Source organism: Homo sapiens, chromosome 19, assembly GCF_000001405.40.
Source record: "Homo sapiens chromosome 19, GRCh38.p14 Primary Assembly".
Lineage (NCBI taxonomy): Eukaryota > Metazoa > Chordata > Mammalia > Primates > Hominidae > Homo > Homo sapiens.
Window position 1 is genome coordinate 17,488,990 of NC_000019.10, and position 19,413 is coordinate 17,508,402.

Below are 19,413 nucleotides of genomic sequence, written 5' to 3' on the forward strand. Positions count from 1 at the left end.
CAAGGCCACCCTCTGCAGGAAACATCATCGGCGTGGGGCAGTGTCTCATCTATGGGCTGACAGTCGTCCTCCGCAAGAAATTCTCGGCCAGCCGCTTCTGGGACGACTGCATCAAGTACAACTGCACGGTCAGGCCCTGCCCTGTTCTGTCTAGACCCCGCCCCTCCCAGCCAGGCCTCACCCCCTCCCAATCAGGCCCCACCTCCTCCCGGTGAGGCCCCGTACCTCCCAGCAAAGCCCCACCTCCTCCTGGTCAGGTCCCGTCCTCTCCCAGCCAGGCCCCGCCCCCCGACCAGGCTCTATTCCCTTAACTCCCTTATGTGCGCCCTCCTGTCCACCTGCTGGCGCAACCTGCTCCCCCGTCTCTAGGGGTGGGGTGGGGAGCGGGGCTTAAGGAATGGCTGTTCAGGATGGGGACAGAGAGGGCAAGTAGTGTTTCCTGAGTACCTGCTCTGTGTCCAGACCAGAGCTAAACCCTCCACGTGTAAACTCAATGCAATCCTATAACTTTGGAGGGTGGACCCATTTTGCAGCTGGGGAAACTAAGGCTTGTAATGCGGCTAGGATTGGGCCCAGGGTGCCTGAGCTCCTTAAGGCAATGCCTTCCCCATGCCTTGTGCCCTGTGGGTCTTCCCTGCTGCTGACTGTAGGGAATTGAGACCCTGGGATGGGAAGGGCGATGAGTCTGGGGCTTCCAGGTGAGGAACGCGTGAGGCGGAGGTGGAGGCATCTGCTGTCCCGGAGAGGAGAGCAGGCAGAGGTTAAGAACAGGAATTCTTCTTTCCCCTCCACAGTGAGAGGAGACCAGGCTGAGGGTTTCAGTGCTGTAATGTGGGGCAGGATACAGGAAATACAGGCGGGAGGTACAGGAAACAGGTATGGAGCCCGGAGGGAATAGCAAGGCTGACTGGGAAGGATTGGGTGAGAGGTTGTCCAGGGACTGTGGCAAGTTGGCAGATGCAGATTGGACAGATGGGGCCCAGAGAGATTCAGGCCAGGTCACACAGCTGAGCAGGGGTTGGGGGCTCTGGGCTGAGCATCTTGGGGTATACCACAAGGTCCACAGCTGTGCTTGGCTTCGCTTTTGAGGAGTTTTGGTTCTGTTTGGAGGGTCTTGGGAAAATTACTAATCTGCATGTTGAAATGCAAAAGTATATTTTTATTATTATTATTATTTTTTGAGACAGGATCTCACTCTGTTGCCCAGACTGGAGTGCAGTGGCGCTATCATGGCTCACTGCAGCTTTGACCTCCTGGGCTCAAGTGATCTTCCAGCATTGGCCTCCCAAGTAGCTGGGACTACAGGTGCGCACCACCACGCCTGGCCCACTTTTGAATTTTTTTTGTAGAGAAGAGGTTTCGCCATGTTGCCCAGGCTGGTCTCAAACTCCTGGGTTCAAGCAATCCACCCACCTCGGACTCCCAAAGTGCTGGGATTACAGGCATGAGCCACTGTACCCAGCCCAAAATTATCTTTTAAAAAAAATTACAGAGAGTAGCAAATACACATAAAAGTGGACAGAAAAGTATAGAGAGTTCTGGTGCACCCCTCAGCTGGACCCAGAGGCTATCAGATACCCTGTCCTGCCCCTCCCCACCTCCCCACATCCTCCCCTCGGTGATGGCATAAAGCATCCCTCAGACGGCATCATGTTTCCTGTGTAGCTGTTTCACTATAACCTTTGAAAGATGAGTACTTGTTTTTTCAAATTAAAGTGAAATTCATATAAATTAGCCATATTAAAGTGAAAAATTTGGCCAGGCACAGTGGCTCACGCCTGTAATCCCTGTACTTCGGGAGGCTGAGATGGGCAGATCACTTGAGGTCAGGAGTTTGAGACCAGCCTGGCCAACAGGGTGAAACCCTGTCTCTACTAAAAATACAGAAATGTAGCCTGGCGTGGTGGTTGGTGCCTGTAATCCCAGCTACTCGGGAGACTGAGGCGGAAGAATCGCTTGAACCCGGGAGGCAGAGGTTGCAGTGAGCCAAGATTGCACCACTGCACTCCAGCCTGGGCGTGACAGAGTGAGACTCCATCTCAAAAAAAAAAAAAAAAAAAATTTGGCCGGGCATGATGATACACACCTGTAATCCCAGCTGCCTGGAAGGCTGAGGCAGGAGAATCGCTTGAACCTGGGAAGCGGAGGCTGCAGTGAGCTGAGATCGGGCCACTGCACTCCAGTCTGGGTGACAGAGTGAGATTCCATCTTTAAAAAAAAAAAAAGTCAGTAATTTGGTGGCATTCACAATGTACAATCACCATGTCTATCTAGATCCAGAACATTCTCATGCCCCCCAAAGGAAATCCCATCCCCAGTTACTCCCCATCCCTCCACCCCCAGCCCCTGGCAACCACTATTCTGCTTCCTGCCTCTATGATTTGCCTGTTCTGGACATTTCAGATCAATGGAGTCAGACACTGTCGCCTTTTGTGTCTGGTAAGCATTGTTTTTAAGTGACAGTGATATCTCAGTGTCATCAGGAATCTGGGCAGTGGCTCAATTCTGTCTCACAATGTCAAAAATGTGTTTTTTCTTATTTCCATAATTAAATACACAACCAGCATTATGACTGGTTGATGTGTCTTGTAAGAATTCTTGGCTGAGCGCAATGGCTCATGCCTGTAATCCCAGCACTTTGGGAAGCCGAGGCGGGAGGATCGCTTGAGCCCAAGAGTTGTAGACCAGCCTGGGCAACATAGTGAGTCCCTCATCTCTACAAAAAAATTGAAAATCTAGCTGGTTGTGGTGGTTTGTGCCTGTAGTCCCAGCTGCTTGGGAGGCTGAGGTGGGAGGATTGCTTGAGCCCAGGAGGTCAAGGCTGCTGTCAGCCGTGATTGTGCCAGTGTACTCTAGCCTGGGCAACAGAGCAAGCCCCTATCTCAAAAAAATAAAAAAAAGAAAAGAAAAGAAAAGAAAATATTTCATCTGTAGGTGCCTTTTCTCTTTCTGTCTGTCTCTCTTCCCTCTTGGAATTTATTTATTACAGAAATTGAGATAGTGTCCAGAACAGGTTTGACTCTTAACATTTGGGGCTGGATCATTCCCTGGGGTGGGACGTGTCCTGTGCATTGTAGCATATATTTAGCAACATCCCTGGCCTCCCTGCACCAGATGCCAGTAGCAGTCCCCTTCCCCCAAGTTGTGACAATTAAAAAAATGTGTCTAGATGTTGCTAAGTGTCCCTGGGGGACAGAATGGTCCCCGCTTGAGAATCGCTGGTCTATATATTTTATCGGCTTCAAACTCAACTTTTTTGGCAAAGATTCCTTATGGGTGGTGTGGTGTCCTCCCACTGGGAAGCCCGTCATGTCTGATGGTCTCTCTTTGTCCTTGACACACCATCTTGCATTGGTTACTACTTACTGTCTCCTGGGCCTTGGAAGCTCATTCTGTCAGTTTCCTAGAAGTGGAATTTCTGTGTCAAATAAGGCACACAGTGAACATTGAGAGGCTTTTTAAGAAATAGAGGATGGGAAATTAGCTAGGCATGGTGGGCGCCTATAGTCCCAGTTATTTGGGAGGCTGAGGCGGGAGAATCCTGTGAACCCAGGAGGTGGAGGTTGCAGTGAGCCGAGATCGCACCACTGCACTCCAGCCTGGGTGACAAGAGTGAGACTCCATCTCAAAAAAAAAAAAAAAAAAAGAAAAAGAAATAGAGGACGGGGCCGGGCGCAGTGTCTTACGCCTGTAATCCCAGCACTTTGGGAGGCCGAGGCGGGTGGATCACCTGAGGTCTGGAGTTTGAGACCAGCCTGACCAACATGGAGAAACCCCATCTCTACTAAAAATACAAAAATTAGCAGGGCGTGGTGGCACATGCCTGTAATCCCAGCTACTCAGGAGGCTGAGGCAGGAGAATTGCTTGAACCCGGGAGGTGGAAGTTGCAGTGAGAGCCGAGATTGTGCCATTGCACTCCAGCCTGGGCAACGAGAGCGAAACTCCGTCTTAAAAAAAAAAAGAAAGAAATAGAGGATGGGAAATTAGCCAGGTGCGGTGGTGGGCACCTGTAGTCCCAGCTATTTGGGAGGCTGAGGCAGGAGAATCCTGTGAACCCAGGAGGTGGAGGTTGCAGTGAGCTGAGACTGTGCCACTGCACTCCAGCCTGGGCGACAGAGTGAGACTCCATCTCAAAAAAAAAAAAAGAAAAATAGAGGACAGGGCCGGGCGCGGCGGCTCACGCCTGTAATCCCAGCACTTTGGGAAGTCGAGGCAGGTGGATCACCTCAGGTCAGGAGTTCAAGACCAGCCTGGCCAACATGGTGAAACCCCATCTCTACAAAAACAATTAGCCATGCATGGTGGCGGGCACCTGTAGTCCCAGCTACCCGGGAGGCTGAGGCAGGAGAATCGTTTGAACCCGGGAAGTGGAGGTTGCAGTGAGCCGAGATCGCGCCACTGCACTCCAGACTGGGTGAGAGAGCACAACTCCATCTCAAAAAAAAAAAAAAAAAAAAAACAGGACAGAATCTCTAAAGGTGATGTTTAATAAGGACACAAGGAGAAAACAAGAGCATACATTTATTTGGGTTCAGAAATTACATCTCATGAGAAACTGCTCACTGCTATTTTATCTGTAGCAGCAGTTGCAGTCTAGCCATTCTCATGGGGGCAGCAGGCTATAATCTAGAACCTTACTTTTTTTTTTTTTTGAGACACAGTCTCGCTGCATCTCCCAGGCTGGAATGGAGTAGTGTGATCTCGGCTCACTGCAACCTCCTTCTCCTGGGTTCAAGTGATTCCCCTCCCTCAGCCTCCTGAGTAGCTGGGATTACAGGGGTCTACCACCAAGCCTAGCTAATTTTTTGTATTTTTAGTAGAGACGGGGTTTCACCATGTTGGCCAGGCTGGTCTCAAACTTCTGACCTCAGGTGATCTGCCTGCCCCAGCCTCCCAAACTGCTGGGATTACAGCCATGAGCCACAGCAGCCGGCTTTTGTTGCTTATTTCTTTCTTACTGTACACGTGCTAACAAAAAAGGGATGGTGGAGCCCCCAGGGTGGACATGCCCAGCCCCAGGTAGCTGTTTCTTTTTTTTTTTTTTTTGAGACGGAGTCTCGCTCTGTCTCCCAGGCTGGAGTGCAGTGGCGCAATCTTGGCTCACTGCAAGCTCCACCTCCTGGGTTCCCACCATTCTCCTGCCTCAGCCTCCTGAGTAGCTGGGACTACAGGCGCCCGCCACCACACCTGGCTAATTTTTTTTTTGTATTTTTTAGTACAGACAGGGTTTCACGGTGTTAGCCAGGATGGTCTCGATCTCCTGACCTCATGATCTGCCCACCTCGGCCTCCCAAAGTGCTGGGATTACAGGCGTGAGCCACCGTGCCTGGCCTTTTTCTTTTTCTTTTTCTTTTTGAGACGGAGTCTCACTCTGTTGCCCAGGCCAGAGTGCAGTGGTGCGATCTCAGTTCACTGCAACCTCCACCTCCTGGGTTCAGGTGATTCTCCTGCCTCAGGCTCCTGAATAGCTGGGATTACAGGTGTGTGCCACCACGCCTGGCTAATTTTGTATTTTTAGTAGAGATGGGGTTTCACCATGTTGGCCAGGCTGGTCTCGAACTCCTGACCTCAGGTGATCCACCCACCTTGGCCTCCGAAAGTGCTGAGATTACAGGCGTGAGCTACCGTGCCCGGCCACAGGTAGCCCTTTTTATCGGTGCAGCTGCTGGCATCCCCTGCTGCAAGCTTCCAGCTTCCTTATTTGTGTTTGCAGCCCAATCTTCCAGGCTGTTCTTTGTTAGAAAATAAGTGATTTCTTGGGCTGCTTTTTGTTAGAAGGGAAGTTCTACCGAGGATTTTTTGTTTCCAAAAAAAAAAAAAATAGGCAACGTAGAGTAGCTACTCACCTGCATAATAAGAGATTGGGTTGGGGGCTGCCAGAGATTTGCGCCCTATGCGGATGGCACATCTGGTCCTCACCGGTTTTTCACGGTCTATTTAGATCAGATACAGCCTCCCTGCTAGCTTGTCTGTAAAAATCCTTGCCTTTTTTTTTTTTCTGAGGCGGAGTCTCACTCTTGTCCCCAGGCTGGAGTACAATAGAGCGATCTTGGCTTACTGCAACCTCTGCCTCTCGGGTTCAAGAGATTCTCCTGCCTCAGCCTCCCAAGTAGCTGGGATTACAGGCACATGCCACCAGGTCTGGCAAAATTTTCTTGTATTTTTGTAGAGATGAGGTATTACTACATTGGCTAGGCTGGTCTCGAACTTCTGACCTGAAGTGATCTGCCCACCTCGGCCCCCCAAAGTGCTGGGATTACAGGCATGAGCCACCGCGCCCAGCCATGTGCCCATTTTTTTTTTTTTTTTGAGATGGAGTCTCGCTCTGTCGCCCAGGCTGGAGTGCAGTGGCGCGATCTCGGCCCACTGCAAGCTCCGCCTCCCGGGTTTACGCCATTCTCCTGCCTCAGCCTCCCGAGTAGCTGGGATTACAGGAGTGTGCCACCACGCCCGGCTAATTTTTTGTATTTTTTAGTAGAGACGGGGTTTCACCATGTTAGCCAGGATGGTCTCGATCTCCTGACCTCGTGATCCACCTGCTTTGGCCTCCCAAAGTGCTGGGATTACAGGCTTGAGCCACCCCGCCTGGCCGTGCCCATTCTTAAGCCAGTCATATTGGCTGAGGAGGGGCTGGGCTGATTGGCCAGGTTCTCTCCTAGAGATGGTGTGGGCTGTACCACACCTAAGGCAGTGGCCCAAGTCTGAGAATGGAGGGAGAGGACCCTCCCCCTTAGGGACCTGCTGTTGGTCAGCAGCCAGTGATCTTGGGTGCACTGCATTTCCTCTCTGGGCCTCAGTGCCTTCATCTCCAAGCTCAGCTCAGAGCATGGCGGTGGTGTCTGCTGATCATATTGGTTTAGTCATCAGCTATTTAGTCAGTACCTTCTCAGGGGCACAGCTGGGGGCACAGGGGATGCCTCTCAGTGACGTTTGAGCTGAGACTGAAGAGTTCAGGCAAATGCATCTGGGGGAAGACTGCTTCAGGCAAAAGGCTAGCATGTGCAAAGTCCCTGAGGAGGCAGAGTGTTCAGCGGAGATGGAGGGAGAGGAGGCAGCAGGGGCGGCAGGGCCAGATCCAGTTGGCCACAGGAAGAAATGTGGGTTTCATCCTGTGTGTGAGCGGGAAGCCCCGAGCACATTTGCAGCTGTTATGATCCATCTGGTGGGTAATCCCTGGCATGCAACTGTTTTATTCCCACTCTGGGGCCGGGATGCCTGGGTTCAAATCAAATTCTGCCACTTCCCAGCTCTGTGATCTCGTTCCAGTTCCTTACCATCTGTGAGCCTCGGTTTCTCCATCTGTAAAGTGGCGGGGGGGGAGTCATTCCGAAGCCCAACTGGAGATGAGAACTCTTAAAGGCACCGTGGGGCACCTGGTGGATGACCCCAGGAAGCTCTTGCGGGGCTTGAGAATGTGTGGCAGGGAGGGAAGATGTCCTGCAGGGGGAGCCCATGAGCAGGTGGCTCCGTGGGCACCTGGGGCTCAGTCCAGACGCAGCGCAGCCTAGTGGGTGCACCTGGGAGTGGTCTGCCCAGGGGTGACGCTCCGGCCAGCCCAGGCTCAGCCAGGGGGCTCTGGGTGACAGTGTAGGCTCCAGGCTGAGGGTTGCCCTGCGGGGTGCCAGCTCTCCTGCTAGTCCTGCCCTGTGTGCCTGCTGAGGCTCAGACAGGGATGTGGTATCTCCAGGAAGCTGCTTGGCAGAATCGAGGGACCACGAAGGGGTGCGGGTAGGGGGAGGAGGAAAGACACTGCATCTGCTTGGATAGAAGTTGCATCCGGCCAGGCACAAGTGGCTCACACCTGGAATCTCACACTTTGGGAGGCTGAGGCAGGAGGATTGCTTGAGGCCAGGAGTTCAAGACCAGCCTGGGCAACAGAGCGAGATCCCCCATCTCTACAAAAAAATCTGTAGTCCCAGCTACTCGGGAGGCTAAGGCTGGAAGATCACTTGAACCCAGGAGTTAGAGGCTGCAGTGAGCTGTGATCATGCCACTGCACTCCAGCCTGGGCGGCACAGGGAGACCCCCAACCAAAAAACAACAAAAAAAGCTGCATCCTAGACCCTTTGCAAGAGACTGAACGAGTCCTAGGAGTCAATGTGGTCCCTAATGGAGTGTGGACGATTCTGCAGCCATCATCATCCTTAGGCTGTTCCGCTCATAGGATTAGCTCCCTGGGTGGGGCGGTCTCGGGGTCTCTCCTCTGATCCGGGCTCCCCACCGCCTGCCGGTCCCATCACCCACTTCCTCACCCCGTCCCCCAGGTGGTTCAGTACATCGGGGAGATCTGCCGCTACCTGCTGAAGCAGCCGGTGCGCGAGGCGGAGAGGCGACACCGCGTGCGCCTGGCGGTGGGGAACGGGCTGCGTCCTGCCATCTGGGAGGAGTTCACGGAGCGCTTCGGCGTACGCCAAATCGGGGAGTTCTACGGCGCCACCGAGTGCAACTGCAGCATTGCCAACATGGACGGCAAGGTGCACACCGGCAGGGCCCCGGGGCAGGTCTCGGAGTTCAGGGAAGACCACTGTCTCCTCTTCCTGGGGCCCCTGGGATACATAAAACAGCCTGGACTGGCGCGGAAGGCTCCGCCAAGGCGCACGCAGGGCGGGGTGTAAGGGGAGTTCCTGGGACTCCCGGTGCACCACCAGAGGGACAATCCTGCAGCCTGCACAGATAGTCATGTGACTGTGGTCCTTGGGTCAGGAGAGTTGGAGGATAGGTATGGCTGTGCGCCCTGGCAAGTGCCTCAGCCTTTCTGAGCCTCAGTTTCTGCGTGTGGAGATTAGCAAGGAGAATAGGGCTCTGTGTACCGTGCTGTTATTTTGTTGTTGTTGTTTGAGACAGAGTCTCGCTCTGTCGCCCAGGCTGGAGTGCAGCCACGTGATCATAGCTCACTGTAGCTTTCAGTTCCTGAGCTCAAGCAATCCTCCTGCCTCAGCCTCCCAAGTAGCAGCAAACAGATACCTTCATAATTAGCAACTACTTACTCTCTTAATCATCTCCATTCTCCGCTTGCATGAATCTCCCTCTCCTTTCCCAAGCCCCTCCCATCCAAGGCCAAGAACAGACCGTAATAATGATCATAAAGCAAATGTCGGCTGGGCACAGTGGCTCACACCTGTAATCCTAACACTTTGGGAGGCTGAGGCAGGAGGATCACTTGAGCCCAGGAGTTTGAGACCAGCATAGCCAATGTAGTGAGACCCCCTTTTCTACAGAAAATAAAAAATTAGCCAGGCATGGTGGCAGGTGCCTGTAGTCAATGCTACTAAGGAGGCTGAGGCGGGAGGATCACGTGAGCTCACGAGATCGAGGCTGCAGTGAGCTATGATTACACCACTGGACTCCAGCCTGGGCAACAGAGTGAGACTCTGTGTCTCTAAAAAGGAAAAAAAAAAACAGCAAGTGCCATGGGGGCTGGGTCCTTAATGCCAAGAACAATGCTCCTTCCTCAGTGTGCTTGGTGTTGGATGGCCAGCCCCCAGGGCACTTTTGCTCACTGTAGCTCAGATTCTTGCATAGGAAACACACCAGGCCAGGCACGGTGGCTCACGCCTGTAGGGTCCAGCCCCACAGGGTCGGTGGGTTTTTCTCCCTGTGTGCGGAGACGAGAGATTGTAGAAATAAAGACACAAGACAAAGAGATGAAAGAAAAGACAGCTGGGCCCGGGGGACCACTACCACCAAGAGGCGGAGACCGGTAGAGGCCCCGAATGTCTGGCTGCACTGTTATTTACTGGATACAAAGCAAAAGGGGCAGGGTAAAGAGTGTGAGTCATCTCCAATGATAGGTAAGGTCACGTGGGTCATGCGTCCACTGGACAGGGGGCCCTTCCCTGCCTGGCAGCCGAGGCAGAGGCAGAGAGAGGGAGAGAGAGAGAAAGACAGCTTATGCCATTATTTCTGCATATCAGAGACTTTTAGTACTTTCACTAATTTTGCTACTGTTATCTAGAAGGCAGAGCCAGGTGTACAGGATGGAACATGAAGGCGGACTAGGAGCATGACCACTGAAGCACAGCATCACAGGGAGACGGTTAGGCCTCCGGATAACTGTGGGCAAGCCTGACTGATGTCAGGCCCTCCACAAGAGGTGGAGGAGTAGAGTCTTCTCTAAACTCCCCGGGGGAAAGGGAGACTCCCTTTCCCGGTCCACTAAGTAGCAGGTGTTTTTCCTTGACACTAAGGCTACCGCTAGACTAGACTTCCCAGACGCTGGCGTCACCGCTAGACCAAGGAACCCTCTGGTGGCCCTGTCCGGGCATAACAGAAGGCTCGCACTCTTGTCTTCTGGTCACTACTCACTGTGTCCCCTCAGCTCCTATCTCTCTATGGCCCGGTTTTTTCTAGGTTATGATTACAGAGCGAGGATTATTATAATACTGGAATAAAGAGTAATTGCTACAAACTGATGACTAATGATATTCATATATAATCATGTCTATGATCTAGATCTAGTATAACTCTTGTTGTTTTATATATTTTATTATACTGGAATGGCTCGTGCCCTCGGTCTCTTGCCTCGGCACCTGGGTAGCTTGCCACCCACACACGCCTGTAATCCCAGCACTTTGGGAGGCTGAGGTGGGTGGATCACTTGAGGTCACGAGTTCGAGACCAGTCTGGCCAACATGGCAAAACCCCATCTCTACTAAAAATACAAAAAAAAAAAAAATTGTTTGGGCTCAGTGGCATGCGCCTGTAATCCCAGACTCAGGAGGCTGAGGCATAAGAACCACTTGAACGTGGGAGGCAGAGGTTACAGTGAGCGAAGATTGCGCCACTGCATTCCAGCCTAGGCGACAGAGTAAGACTCTATAAAAAAAGGAAGGAAGGAAGGAAGGGAGGAACGGAGGAAGGGGGAAAAGCAGAAAGAAACACACCAGACAGGGTGTAGTGGCTCAAACATGTTGGAGAAGCATTTCTGTTCATAGAACCATGCCAAGCAGGGCGGCGGGCAGCAGGTGAAGCTCTGCAGTGTCTGACGTAGCTGTAGTGTCCACACAGAGGCATCTACTTCCTGCCAGCATGGAGGGTTTTGTGGATCAGGAAGTGGGTGCCAGCCAGAGGTCTTCTCTTGACTGAATGCAGGCTGGGAAGGTGGGAGGAGGGGCCCTGAGTTGGAGGCGACGCTTACTACCCTGCTTTTGCAGATCAGCCAAGGTCACAGAGCTTAGAATGACACTGGAGGTGCTAGGTCCAAGCCCCAGGGCAAGGCAGGCAAAGTGTTACTGAGAAGGACCCCGCATATCCCCGGCTCCTTCCAACTCAGTTCACCCCATTCCAGGTCGGCTCCTGTGGTTTCAACAGCCGCATCCTGCCCCACGTGTACCCCATCCGGCTGGTGAAGGTCAATGAGGACACAATGGAGCTGCTGCGGGATGCCCAGGGCCTCTGCATCCCCTGCCAGGCCGGTGAGCAGGGCCCCCGCATGGTCCCCACCCGGAGCAGGGGTCCCCACGCCCTGCCTGCCTAGCGCAGCCTGAACATGGCCTTCTCCCTAGGGGAGCCTGGCCTCCTTGTGGGTCAGATCAACCAACAGGACCCGCTGCGCCGCTTCGATGGCTATGTCAGCGAGAGCGCCACCAGCAAGAAGATCGCCCACAGCGTCTTCAGCAAGGGCGACAGCGCCTACCTCTCAGGTGCGCAGCCTGCTAGGCCCCGGTGACTGGCTGTGCGGATGGGGATCCTCCACCCATCTGCCCCTCTCCCCTCTGCCAGGTGACGTGCTAGTGATGGATGAGCTGGGCTACATGTACTTCCGGGACCGTAGCGGGGACACCTTCCGCTGGCGAGGGGAGAACGTCTCCACCACCGAGGTGGAGGGCGTGCTGAGCCGCCTGCTGGGCCAGACAGACGTGGCCGTCTATGGGGTGGCTGTTCCAGGCAAGCTGGGGTTGCAGGGGGTGGTCCTGAGGCATGGTCCTGAGGGAGCTCAGCCAAAAGGGGCTTAGAAGTACACATGCCTTTGGGCAGTGCACAACCTGGACAACTGCTCATGGCAGCCCAGGAGGAAGCACTGGATCTGGAGCCAGTTCACCTGGGTGATGTTGAGCCTCAGTTTTGTCATCCAGAAAATGGGATCATGAAAGCCCACCTGTCTTAGGGCTTCAATGAGCCAAGCAGGAGCTCCACAAAATGTGTGGCTGCTTCCATAAATGTCATCCCAGGTTGGGAGAGACTGGAGATTACAGACCAGGGGCTACTGCTTGACAGTGTATCTGGTCCTGCTGGTGGGGAGGATGAGAGGCGGGGTGTCCTCAGCTGAGCCTCTGCCTCCAGGAGTGGAGGGTAAGGCAGGGATGGCGGCCGTCGCAGACCCCCACAGCCTGCTGGACCCCAACGCGATATACCAGGAGCTGCAGAAGGTGCTGGCACCCTATGCCCGGCCCATCTTCCTGCGCCTCCTGCCCCAGGTGGACACCACAGGTGCGAGTCTCCCCCACTCCAATCTCTCTCTTCATCCATCAGTGTGTCTGTTGATTCATGTCTTGGTCCATTTTGTGTTGCTCTAAAAGAATACCTGGCCGGGGCCAGGCACGGTGGCTCACGCCTGTAATCCCAGCACTTTGGGAGGCCGAGGCGGGCGGATCACGAGGTGAGGAGATCGAGAGCATCCCGGCTAACACAGTGAAACCCTGTCTCTACTAAAAATACAAAAAATTAGCCGGGCACGGTTGCGGGTGCCTGTAGTCCCAGCTACTTGGGAGGCTGAGGCAGGAGAATGGCATGAACCTGGGAGGCGGAGTTTGCAGTGAGCCCAGATCACGCCACTGCACTCCAGCCTGGGCGATAGAGTGATACTCTGTCTCAAAAAAAAAAAAAAAAAAAGAATACCTGGCCGGGTGTGGTGGCTCCCGCCTGTAATCTCCGCACTTTGGGAGGCTGAGGCAGGTGGATCACCTGAGGTCAGGAGTTCGAGACCAGCCTGGCCAACATGGTGAAACTGTGTCTCTACTAAAAATACAAAAAAAAATTAGCCAGGCATGGTGGCATGCACTTGTAGTCCCAGCTACTCAGGAGGCTGAGGCAGAAGAATTGCTTGAACCTGGGAGGCAGAGGTTGCAGTGAGCCGAGATCAGGCCACTGCACTCCAGCCTGGGTGACAGAGTGAGACAATGTCTCAAAATAATAATAATAATTTCAACATGATTTTTGGTGCGGACAAACAAACCATATCCAAACCATTTACTCATCCTAGTTCAGGACAGTGTCCTGGGACTGACACAAGGGCTCACAGCCAGCTAGCACTGTGGGCTCTCACGGGTCCCTTCTGCTGTTTTATTTTAGTAGTTATTTATTTCCATTCCTCACTTCCACTGCCACTAAGCATTCTGAAATAGTGTTTTTTTTGTTTTTTTTTTTTTTTTTTTTTTTTTGAGATGGAGTCTTGCTCTGTCACCCAGGCTGGAGTGCAGTGGCGTGATCTTGGCTCACTGCAACCTCTACCTCCTGGGTTCAAGCGATTCTCCTGCCTCAGCCTCCTGAATAGCTGGGATTACAGGTGTGCACCACCATGCCCAGCTAATTTTTTTGTATTTTTAGTAGAGATCGAGTTTTACCATATTGGCCAGGCTGGTCTTGAACTCCTGACCTCAAGTGATCCACCTGCCTTGGCCTCCCAAAGTGTTGGGATTACACACATGAGCCACTGCACCCGGCCTCGGTGTATCTTTTCTTTTTCTTTTGTTTTTTTTGTTTGTTTGTTTGTTTGAGACAGGGTCTTACTCTGTTGCCCAGGCTGGCATGCAGTGGCACTATCATAGCTCACTGCAGCCTCAGCCTCCTGGGTTCAAATGATCCTCCCACCTCAGCCTCTGGAGTAGCTAGGACTACAGGCAGGCACCACCATGCCTGACTAATTTTTTTGATTTTTTGTAGAGATGGGGTCTGTATTAGTCCATTCTCATGCTGCTAATAAAGACATATCCGAGACTGGGTAATTTATAAAGGAAAGAGGTTTAATGGAACTCACAGTTCCACATGGCTGGGATGGCCTCACCATCATGGCAGAAGACGAAGGAAAAGCAAAGGGACTTTTTAATGGTGGAGGGCAAGAGAGTGTGTGCAAGGGAACTCCCCTTTAAAAACCACCAAATAAAGCCATCAAATCTCGTGAGACCCCTTCACTATCATGAGAACAGCACGGGAAAGACCCACCCCCATGATTCAACTACCTCCCACCGGGTCCCTCCCACAACACGTGGGAAGTATGGGAGCTACAATTCAAGATGAGATTTGGGTGGGGACACAGCCAAAATATATCAGGGTCTCACTGTGTTGCCCAGGCTGGTCTCGCAGTCCTGGGCTCAGGCAAACTTTTTCTTAAAGGACCAGATAGTTAATATTTTCGGCTTTGCAGGCCATACAGCCTCGATTGCTATTCAACACTGCTATTCTTGTGCAAAAGCAGCCATAGACAATGTGCAAATGAATGAGCATGGCTGTGTGCCAATAAAACTTTATTTCTAAATTTTTATTTATTTTTTGAGACAAGATCTTGCTGTTGTCCAGGCTGGAATGCAATAATGCAATCATAGTTTACTGCAGTCTTCTCCTCCTGGGCTCAAGTGATTCTCCCACCTCAGCCTCCCAAGTAGCCGGAACTACACGCACGTGCCATGACACCCAGCTAATTTAAAAAAAAAAAAAAATTGTTGGCCGGGTGCGGTGGCTCACGCCTGTAATCCCAGCATTTTGAGAGGCCGAGGCGGGCAGATCACTTGAGGTCAGGAGTTCGAGACCAGCCTGGCCAACATAGTGAAACCCTGTCTCTACCAAAATTTTAAAAATTAGCCACGTGTGGTGGTGCACGCCTATAATCCCAGCTACTTGGGAGGCTGAGGCAGGAGAATCACTTGAATCCAGGAGGTGGAGGTTGCAGTGAGCCGAGATCACACCACTGCACTCCAGCCTGGGTGACAAAGCAAGACTATGTCTCAAAAAAAAAAAAAAAAAAAAAAAAAAGGGTTTTTGCAGAGACAGAGTCTCACTATGTTGCCCAGGCTGGTCTTAAACTCCTGGGCTCAAGCGACCCTCCTGCCTTGGCGTCCCAAAGTACTGAGATTATAGGCATGAGCCATTATTGTGCCCGGCCCCAGTAAAACTTTATTTACAAAAACAGGTGGAGGGCCAAATTTGGCCCACAGGATGTAAGTTGCTAAACTCTTATTCACTGTGTAACAGACACAGCCCTGCCTGTCATGTGGGGAATGGACACATGACCAGGCAGGGTGTACATTTTCTTGCCCTGGTGAGGAGTGGTTAGGGAGGCCTCACTGGAGGAGGGGGCATGAAGCCAGGATCTGACAGACAAGGGGGAATCAGGCAGGCAAAATGGGGAAGAACATTCCTGCCCAGGGGACAGCCTGTGGGAAGGTCCAGAGGTGCAGGAGAGGATATTGAGTTGAGGCCTCCCAGAAGCCACCTGCTCAGCCCTTATCTGCCCCCCATCCCCACTATAGGCACCTTCAAGATCCAGAAGACGAGGCTGCAGCGAGAGGGCTTTGACCCACGCCAGACCTCAGACCGGCTCTTCTTCCTGGACCTGAAGCAGGGCCACTACCTGCCCTTAAATGAGGCAGTCTACACTCGCATCTGCTCGGGCGCCTTCGCCCTCTGAAGCTGTTCCTCTACTGGCCACAAACTCTGGGCCTGGTGGGAGAGGCCAGCTTGAGCCAGACAGCGCTGCCCAGGGGTGGCCGCCTAGTACACACCCACCTGGCCGAGCTGTACCTGGCACGGCCCATCCTGGACTGAGAAACTGGAACCTCAGAGGAACCCGTGCCTCTCTGCTGCCTTGGTGCCCCTGTGTCTGCCTCCTCTCCCTGCTTTTCAGCCTCTGTCTCCTTCCATCCCTGTCCCTGTCTGGCCTTAACTCTTCCCTCTTTTTCTTTTCTTTCTTTCTTTCTTTTTTTTTTAAGATAGAGTCTCACTCTGCTGCCCGGGCTAGAGTGCAGTGGTGGGATCTCGGCTCACTGCAACCTCTGCCTCCTGGGGTTCAAGTGATCCTCCCACCTCAGCCTCCTGAGTAGCTGGGATTACAGGCACCCGCCACCACGTCCAGCTAATTTTTATATTTTTAGTAGAGACGGGGTTTCACCATGTTGGTCAGGTTGGTCTTGAACTCCTGACCTCAGGTGATCCGCTGGCCTCGGCCTCCCAGAGTGCTGGGATTATAGGCGTGAGCCTCTGGCCCGGCCTTTCCTTTTTCCTCTCCTCTCCTGCCGAGAGTGGAACACGCGTGTCCTGGGAGCTGCATCTTGTGTAGGGTCCAGCTGCTTTTGGGGACTGCAGGAATCATCTCCCCTGGGCCCTGGACTCGGACTGGGGCCTCCCCACCTCCCTCTCGGCTGTGCCTTACGGAGCCCCGATCCAGGCCTCCTGTGGCTGTTGGGTTCCAGATGCTGCAGCTCCATGTGACTTCCAAGCAGGCCCTCCGCCCTCCCTGCTGAATGGAGGAGCCGGGGGTCCCCCAGGCCAACTGGAAAATCTCCCAGGCTAGGCCAATTGCCTTTTGCACTTCCCCGTTCCTGTCACATTTCCCCAGCCCCACCTTCCCCTCCTGATGCCCTGAAAGCTTCCGGAATTGACTGTGACCACTTGGATGTCACCACTGTCAGCCCCTGCCTTGATGTCCCCATTTAGCCATCTCCATGGAGCTCCTGCTGGAGGGCCCTGAACCCTGCACTGCGTGGCTGCCCAGCCAGCTGCCTCCTGTCCTGGGAGGAGGCCTCCTGGGTGTCCTCATCTGGTGTGTCTACTGGAGGGTCCCACAGGAGAGGCAGCAGAGGGGTCAGGGGAGGTCTCCTGCCGGGGGTTGGCCTCTCAAGCCTCAGGGGTTCTAGCCTGTTGAATATACCCCACCTGGTGGTGGCCCCTCCGATGTCCCCACTGATGGCTCTGACACCGTGTTGGTGGCGATGTCCCAGACAATCCCACCAGGACGGCCCAGACATCCCTACTGGCTTCGCTGGTGGCTCATCTCGAACATCCACGCCAGCCTTTCTGGGGCCGGCCACCCAGGCCGCCTGTCCGTCTGTCCTCCCTCCAGCAGCACCCCCTGGCCCCTGGAGTGGTGGGGCCATGGCAAGAGACACCGTGGCGTCTCATGTGAACTTTCCTGGGCACTGTGGTTTTATTTCCTAATTGATTTAAGAAATAAACCTGAAGACCGTCTGGTGCCTGCTGGGAGCCCATTCATTGAGTGTCCCTATGTGGCACAGAACCCTTGCTGAGTTTCAGAAGGCAGGACTCGGCCAGCCGGGCATAGTGGCTCATGCCTGTAATCCCAGCACTTTGGGAGGCTGAGGTGGGTGAATCACTTGAGCCCAGGAGTTCGAGACCAGCCTGGCCAACATGGTGAAACCCTGTCTCTACTAAAAATACAAACAAAATAATTAGCTGGGCATGGTGGCTCACACCTTTAATTCCAGCTACTCGGGAGGCTCAGGCAGGAGAATTGCTGGAACCTAGGAGGCAGAGGTTGCAGTGCACTCCAGCCTGGGTGGCAGAGCGAGACTCTGGTTCAAAATAGAAAGAAAGAGAGAAAGGGGGAGGGAGGGAGGGAAAGAGCGAGAGAGGAGAGGAGAGGGAGGGAGGGAGGGAATACAAAAAGTAGCCAGGCATGGTGGTGCGCGCACCTGTAATCCCAGCTACCCCAGAGGCTGGGGCAGGAGAATTGCTTGCGCCGGGAGGTGGAGGTTGCAGTGAGCCGAGATGGTGCCACTGCACTCCATCCTGGGTGACAGAGCGAGACTTTGTCTCAAAAAAAAAAAAAAAAGAAAAGAAAAAGAAGGGACCCTGTACCATGTGGCCCCATCTGCAAGACCAAAGGGACCTTGGGGCAGGGGCACTCGGGTTGGCCCTCTCGCTGGCCTGCCGAGGGGGAGGCACCTCCCTGCAGTGTCTGGGCCTCACAGGCCCTCGTTGACCTTGTGGTTGCAGGGGAGGGATGGCCAGCCTGCCTGTGGGTTCCTGCAGGTGTTGCAGGATGGCTCAGATCACGGTATGTCCTGGCACCTGTGGCTGCCCTGGCAGTGTCCTCTTCCATGTACAGGCCGGCTGGTGTGAGAGCTCTGGGTGAAAGTCGCTAGGCCTGCTGGGGTGGCCGTCTGAGCTGGGATTCGAACCCAGGACTCCAAGCTCAGGAGTCTATACAGTATTCCTCCCAATCGCTGGGGGATATGTTCCAAGACCCCAAATGGATGCCTGAAACTGACCATAATACTGAGCCCTAAATATGTTTTGTTTCTTTTCTTTCTTCCTTTCTTTCCTTTCCTTCTTTTTCTTTCCCTTCCTCCCTCCCTCCCTCCCTTCCTTTCCTTCATCCTTTCCTCCCTTTCTAATTTTAATTTAATTTAATTATTTATTTATTTTTGAGATGGAGTCCTGCTGTCTCCCAGGCTGGAGTGCAGTGGCACGATCTCGGCTCACTGCAAGCTCTGCCTCCCAGGTTCACGCCATTTTCCTGCCTCAGCCTCCCGAGTAGCTGGGACTACAGGTGCCTGCCACCACGCCCGGCTAATTTTTTTGTATTTTTAGTAGAGATGGGGTTTCACCGTGTTAGCCAGGATGGTCTCAATCTCCTGACCTCATGATCCGCCCTCCTCGGCCTCCCAAAGTGCTGGGATTACAGGCGTGAGCCACCGCACGTGGCCTAATTTATTTATTTTTAAGACAAAGTCTTATTCTGTTGCCCAGGCCAGAGTACAGTGGCATGATCATAGCTCACTGCAGCCTTGACCTCCCACACACAAGCAATCCTCCATCAGCCTCCTGCGTGGCTGAGACTACAGATATGCACCATCACGCCCAGCTAATTTTTTGATTTGTTTGCAGAGATGAGGTCCCACTGTATTGCCCAGGCTGGTCTTGAACTCCTGGGCTGAAGCCATCCTCCTGCCTTGGCCTCCCAAAGTGCTGGGATTACAGGTGTGAGTCACCGTGCCCAGTTTATACTGGTTTTTCAATCTCATAACCAGGAGGCTACTAAGTGACAAATGAGTGGGCATGGGGGGAGTGGTGTCTCCAGCATGGATCTGCTGGACAAAGGGGTGATTCATGACCCTGGGCGGGACAGAGAGGGATGGAGCAAGGCAGTCCGAGATTTCATCATGCTCCTCAGAACAGCACGCAATTTGAAACTTATGAATTGCTTATTTCTGGAATTCTCCATTTAATATGTTTGAACTGTGGAAACCTCAGAAAGAGAAACTTTGAATAAGCAGGGACTACTGTACTCTCAACTGACTCTCACCTCTGCTGTCCCCCTCGCGTGTCATAATGTTGGCATCTTGTTTGTTGTCTCTACCTCAGGGGACAGGAGGTGACAGAGCATTTGCTGGGAGAGGACACTGAGGGGGTGACCCTCGTGTGCAGATGAGCAAGTGAATTTTTTTGTTTTGTTTTTT

The 19,413-nt window shown here is 53.2% G+C and overlaps 1 protein-coding gene and 1 long non-coding RNA gene across 9 annotated transcripts in view, besides 7 other annotated features; one reads left to right on the forward strand and one right to left on the reverse strand.

Moving 5' to 3' along the window:
• The window catches only part of SLC27A1 (solute carrier family 27 member 1), a 37,402-nt gene extending 20,223 nt beyond the window's left edge, over nt 1–17,179 (forward strand). For 4 of the 8 annotated variants that reach the window (XM_011528003.3, XM_047438789.1, XM_047438790.1 and 1 more), the window contains 7 exons: nt 19–128; nt 8,266–8,475; nt 11,289–11,415; nt 11,506–11,643; nt 11,723–11,887; nt 12,284–12,430; nt 15,466–17,179. In XM_011528003.3, the coding sequence (XP_011526305.1) occupies nt 19–128; nt 8,266–8,475; nt 11,289–11,415; nt 11,506–11,643; nt 11,723–11,887; nt 12,284–12,430; nt 15,466–15,623 (1,055 nt within the window). In that variant the 3' untranslated portion in view covers nt 15,624–17,179. Of the gene's footprint in view, nt 1–18; nt 129–2,403; nt 2,440–8,265; nt 8,476–11,288; nt 11,416–11,505; nt 11,644–11,722; nt 11,888–12,283; nt 12,431–15,465 lie in introns of those variants that run through there. The other 4 variants (XM_011528000.2, XM_011528002.3, XM_047438791.1 and 1 more) reach the window with 3 other exon arrangements.
• PGLS-DT (PGLS divergent transcript) overlaps nt 1–19,413 on the reverse strand; it is a 22,900-nt gene continuing 3,487 nt past the window's right edge. Inside the window, exons 2-3 of the long non-coding RNA NR_147835.1 lie at nt 2,087–2,208; nt 1–106 (exon numbers count right to left, since the gene is read on the reverse strand). This is a non-coding gene — a long non-coding RNA (PGLS divergent transcript). The remainder of the gene's footprint in view (nt 107–2,086; nt 2,209–19,413) is intronic.
• Nucleotides 4–53: an enhancer, noted in NCBI's record as "active region_14275". NCBI's record gives its function as "activates an Ori minimal core promoter by ATAC-STARR-seq in GM12878 lymphoblastoid cells {active_cell/tissue: GM12878}" and the evidence as "EXISTENCE:reporter gene assay evidence [ECO:0000049][PMID:35858748]".
• Nucleotides 134–353: a silencer, noted in NCBI's record as "silent region_10348". NCBI's record gives its function as "represses an Ori minimal core promoter by ATAC-STARR-seq in GM12878 lymphoblastoid cells {active_cell/tissue: GM12878}" and the evidence as "EXISTENCE:reporter gene assay evidence [ECO:0000049][PMID:35858748]".
• Nucleotides 161–324: a silencer, noted in NCBI's record as "fragment chr19:17599959-17600122 (GRCh37/hg19 assembly coordinates)". NCBI's record gives its function as "represses an EF-1alpha promoter that drives an FKBP-Casp9 reporter gene in an ReSE screen in K562 erythroleukemia cells {active_cell/tissue: K562}" and the evidence as "EXISTENCE:reporter gene assay evidence [ECO:0000049][PMID:32094911]".
• Nucleotides 9,605–10,149: an enhancer, noted in NCBI's record as "H3K27ac-H3K4me1 hESC enhancer chr19:17609403-17609947 (GRCh37/hg19 assembly coordinates)". NCBI's record gives its function as "activates a minimal SCP1, AML or CMV promoter by ChIP-STARR-seq in naive H9 embryonic stem cells {active_cell/tissue: H9 hESC(naive)}" and the evidence as "EXISTENCE:reporter gene assay evidence [ECO:0000049][PMID:30033119]".
• Nucleotides 10,502–11,370: an enhancer, noted in NCBI's record as "H3K27ac-H3K4me1 hESC enhancer chr19:17610300-17611168 (GRCh37/hg19 assembly coordinates)". NCBI's record gives its function as "activates a minimal SCP1, AML or CMV promoter by ChIP-STARR-seq in primed H9 embryonic stem cells {active_cell/tissue: H9 hESC(primed)}" and the evidence as "EXISTENCE:reporter gene assay evidence [ECO:0000049][PMID:30033119]".
• Nucleotides 11,371–12,239: an enhancer, noted in NCBI's record as "H3K27ac-H3K4me1 hESC enhancer chr19:17611169-17612037 (GRCh37/hg19 assembly coordinates)". NCBI's record gives its function as "activates a minimal SCP1, AML or CMV promoter by ChIP-STARR-seq in naive H9 embryonic stem cells {active_cell/tissue: H9 hESC(naive)}" and the evidence as "EXISTENCE:reporter gene assay evidence [ECO:0000049][PMID:30033119]".
• Nucleotides 18,501–19,413: part of an enhancer, noted in NCBI's record as "BRD4-independent group 4 enhancer chr19:17618299-17619498 (GRCh37/hg19 assembly coordinates)", that runs on past the window's edge. NCBI's record gives its function as "activates an origin of replication core promoter dependent on BRD2, P300/CBP, MED14 and CDK7 cofactors, and independent of BRD4, by STARR-seq in HCT116 cells {active_cell/tissue: HCT116}" and the evidence as "EXISTENCE:reporter gene assay evidence [ECO:0000049][PMID:35650434]".